The sequence below is a fragment of the Homo sapiens genome, chromosome 16 (assembly GCF_000001405.40).
Source record: "Homo sapiens chromosome 16, GRCh38.p14 Primary Assembly".
Lineage (NCBI taxonomy): Eukaryota > Metazoa > Chordata > Mammalia > Primates > Hominidae > Homo > Homo sapiens.
This window is the reverse complement of record NC_000016.10, coordinates 28,839,076-28,842,410: the sequence shown is the minus strand read 5'-3', so window position 1 is coordinate 28,842,410 and position 3,335 is coordinate 28,839,076. Positions and strand designations below refer to the sequence as shown.

Here is a 3,335-nt window from a genome sequence, read left to right as displayed (position 1 = left end):
TTTGATTTCTCAGTGAAGTTATGTTTATATTATAGTTGACCCTTGAACAATGCAGGGGTTAGGGGTGTCAGCCCTCCTCCATGCAGCCACAAATCCACATATAACTTGTTTTTGAGATGGGGCCAGCTTTGTGCAGTGGCAGTATCATAGCCAATGACTCCATGATGACTTGAAATATAATCAGCATTGGCAATTTTCGACGGTCTCTATGGGGAGGCTGAACAAAGGGAAAAAAAGAGATATAGGGTCTCACTGTCACCCAGGCTGGGTGCGGTGGCACCATCCTAGCTCACTGCAGCCTTGGACTCCTGGGCTCAACCTTGGTCTCCCCAACTGCTGGGATTAGAGGTGTAAGCTACCGTGTCTGGCTCCTCACATATAACTTGACTCCCCCAAAATGTAACTAGTAACCTGCTGCTGGCCAGAAGCCTCGCTGATAGCATACAAACACATACTTTGTGTGTTATATGTATTATATACTGTATTCTTAAAACTAGAGAGTGGCCGGGCGCGGTGGCTCACGCCTGTAATCCCAGCACTTTGGGAGATTGAGGTGGGTGGATCACAAGGTCAGGAGTTCGAGACCAGCCTGGCCAACATGGTGAAACCCTGTCTCTACTAAAAATACAAAAAAATTAGCCGGGTGTGGTGGCACATGCCTGTAATTCCAGCTACTCAGGAGGCTGAGGCAGGAGAATTGCTTGAATCCAGGAGGCGGAGGTTGCGGTGAGCTGAGATCGCGCCACTGCACTCCAGCCTGGGTGACAGAGCGAGACTCTATCTCAAAAAAAAACAAAAAAACAATAAAACTAGAGAAGGTGTTAAGAAAATCATAAGGAAAATATATTCACTATCAAGTGGAAGTGGATCATCATAAAGGCCCTCATTGTCTTCACGTTTCTTAGGAGGAGGCCAAAGGGGAGACAGGCAGACTCGGTGTAACTTGTATTTGAAAAAATTCACATGTAAGTGGATCTGTGCAGTTTGAACCCCAATCACTTAAGGGTCAACTTATTAAGTGTGTAATGTCTAAGAAAACTTGATTTAAAAATACTTGAGCCGAGGCCAGGCACGGTGGCTCACGCCTGTAATCCCAGCACTTTGGGAGGCCAAGGCAGGCAGATCACCTGAGGTCAGGAGTTCGAGACCAGCCTGGCCATTATGATGAAACCCCGTCTCTACTAAAAATACAAAAATTAGCCAGGCGTAGTGGCAGGCGCCTGTAATTCCAGCTACTTGGGAGGCTGAGGCAGGAGAATCGCTTGAACCTGGGAGGCAGAGGTTGCAGTGAGCCAAGATCACACCATTGCACTCCAGACTGGGCAACAGAGTAAGACTCCGTCTCAAAAAAAAAAATTAGCCAGGCATGGTGGCTTGCGCTTGTAGTCTCAGCTACTCAGGAGGCTGAGGCACAAGAATCACTTGAACCCGAGAGGCAGAGGATGCAGTGAGCCGAGATTGCGCCACTGCACTCCAGCCTGGGCGACAGAGTGAGACTCTGTCTCAAAAGAAAAGAAAAAGGCCGGTCGTGGTGGCTCATGCCTGTAATCCCAGCACTTTGGGAGGCCGAGGCAGGCGGATCCCTTGAGCCCAGGAGTTCCAGAGCAGCCTGAGCAACATAGGGAGACTCTGTTTCTATATAAAAAAGAAAAAATAGCCAGGCGCGGTGGCTCACGCCTGTAATCCCAGCATTTCGGGAGGCCGAGGCGGGTGGATCATGAGGTCAGAGTTCAAGACCAGCCTGGCCAAGATGGTGAAACCCCGTCTCTACTAAAAATAAAATTAGCCGGGCGTGGTGGCAGGCACCTGTAATCCCAGCTACTTGGGAGGCTGAGGCAGGAGAATCACTTGAACCAGGGAGGCGGAGGTTGCAGTGAGCCGAGATTGCGCCAATGCACTCCAGCCTGGGCAACACAGTGAGACTCCTTCTCAAAAAAAAAAAAAAAAAAAAGGAAAGAAAAAATAAATTTAAAAAAAGAAAGAAAAAGGCCACTTCTCTAATATGCAGGGAATAAACTATGAGTGAATTTCAAAAACTTGGGAGTGATGACTGGCAAGGATGCCGACACCAAGCAAAGCAAGGCTCGGCAGAGGTTAACAGGCACCCCTATCACAAATGCATCCTGACAAATGAATACACACCCAGGATGGCTAAGATGAGCTCCCAGAAGGGAGGGCTCTTGGGCCCAACTTAAGAGCTGTTTTGAGAAAATGCAAAACCTGATTTTTGACTCCAGAACAGAGGCAAACTAAGGGAAGTGGGTGAGAGAAGAGGAAGAGGGAAGAACTTTGCAAAAAGAAGTCCAATGACAGGGCAGATTTGTCTTCTCCTCAGTGCTCAAGGCAAGGCTGACGGGCTGCCAAGAGGAATTTCTGGCTGGCTGAAGGCTAAGTTCCCTTCCAACTTTGAGATTTCTGCTCAAAGATGGTAAACATACAGTAGTCTCTGCCCTTATCCCTGGTTTCAGTTATCCACTGTCAACACTGGTCTGATTATTTCTGGAATTTTTTTTTTTTTTTTTTTGAGACAGTGTCTGTCACCCAGGCTGGAGTACCGTGGCACGATCTCGGCCCACTGCAACCTCTGCATCCCGGGTTCAAGTGATTCTCCTGCCTCAGCCTTCAAGTAGCTGGGATTACAGGCACCCACCACCACACCTGGCTAACTTGTATTTTTAGTAGAGATGGCATCTCACCATGTTGGCCAACCTGATCTCGAACTCCCGACCTCAAATAATCCACCTTCCTCGGCCTCCCAAAGTATGGGATTACAGGCGTGAACCACCGCACCCAGCTGGAATTTTCTTTTTTTTTTTTTTTTTTTCCTGAGACAGAGTCTCGCTCTGTCGCCAGGCCAGAGTGCAGTGGCACGATCTCTGCTCACTGCAACCTCCACCTCCCGGGCTCAAGCCATTCTCCTGTCTCAGCCTCCCAAGTAGCTGGGCCGACAGGGATGCGCCACTATGCCCAGCTAATTTTTGTATTTTTAGTAGGCAGGGTTTCACCATGTTGGCCAGGATGGTGTCGATCTCTTGACCTCATGATCCACCCACCTCAGCCTCCCAAAGTGCTAGGATTACAGGTGTGAGCCACCGCACCTGGCCTAGAATTTTCTATTTAACAGTTCAGATTTTAAGTTGAGCACCATTCTGAGTAGTATGATGAAATCTTTTGCCATCCTGCTCCATCCATCCTGTCAGGACGTGAACCATCCCTTTGCCTGTTAGTCACTTTAGTAGCCGTGCTGGTTATCAGATTGACCGTTACAGCACTCCAATGATTGTGTTCAAGTAGCCCTGATTTACTCAGTGATGGCCCCGAAGCACAAGAGTATT

The 3,335-nt window shown here is 48.5% G+C and overlaps 1 annotated feature.

Annotated features, from left to right (window-relative positions):
• Positions 411 to 568: a silencer, noted in NCBI's record as "fragment chr16:28853164-28853321 (GRCh37/hg19 assembly coordinates)". NCBI's record gives its function as "represses an EF-1alpha promoter that drives an FKBP-Casp9 reporter gene in an ReSE screen in K562 erythroleukemia cells {active_cell/tissue: K562}" and the evidence as "EXISTENCE:reporter gene assay evidence [ECO:0000049][PMID:32094911]".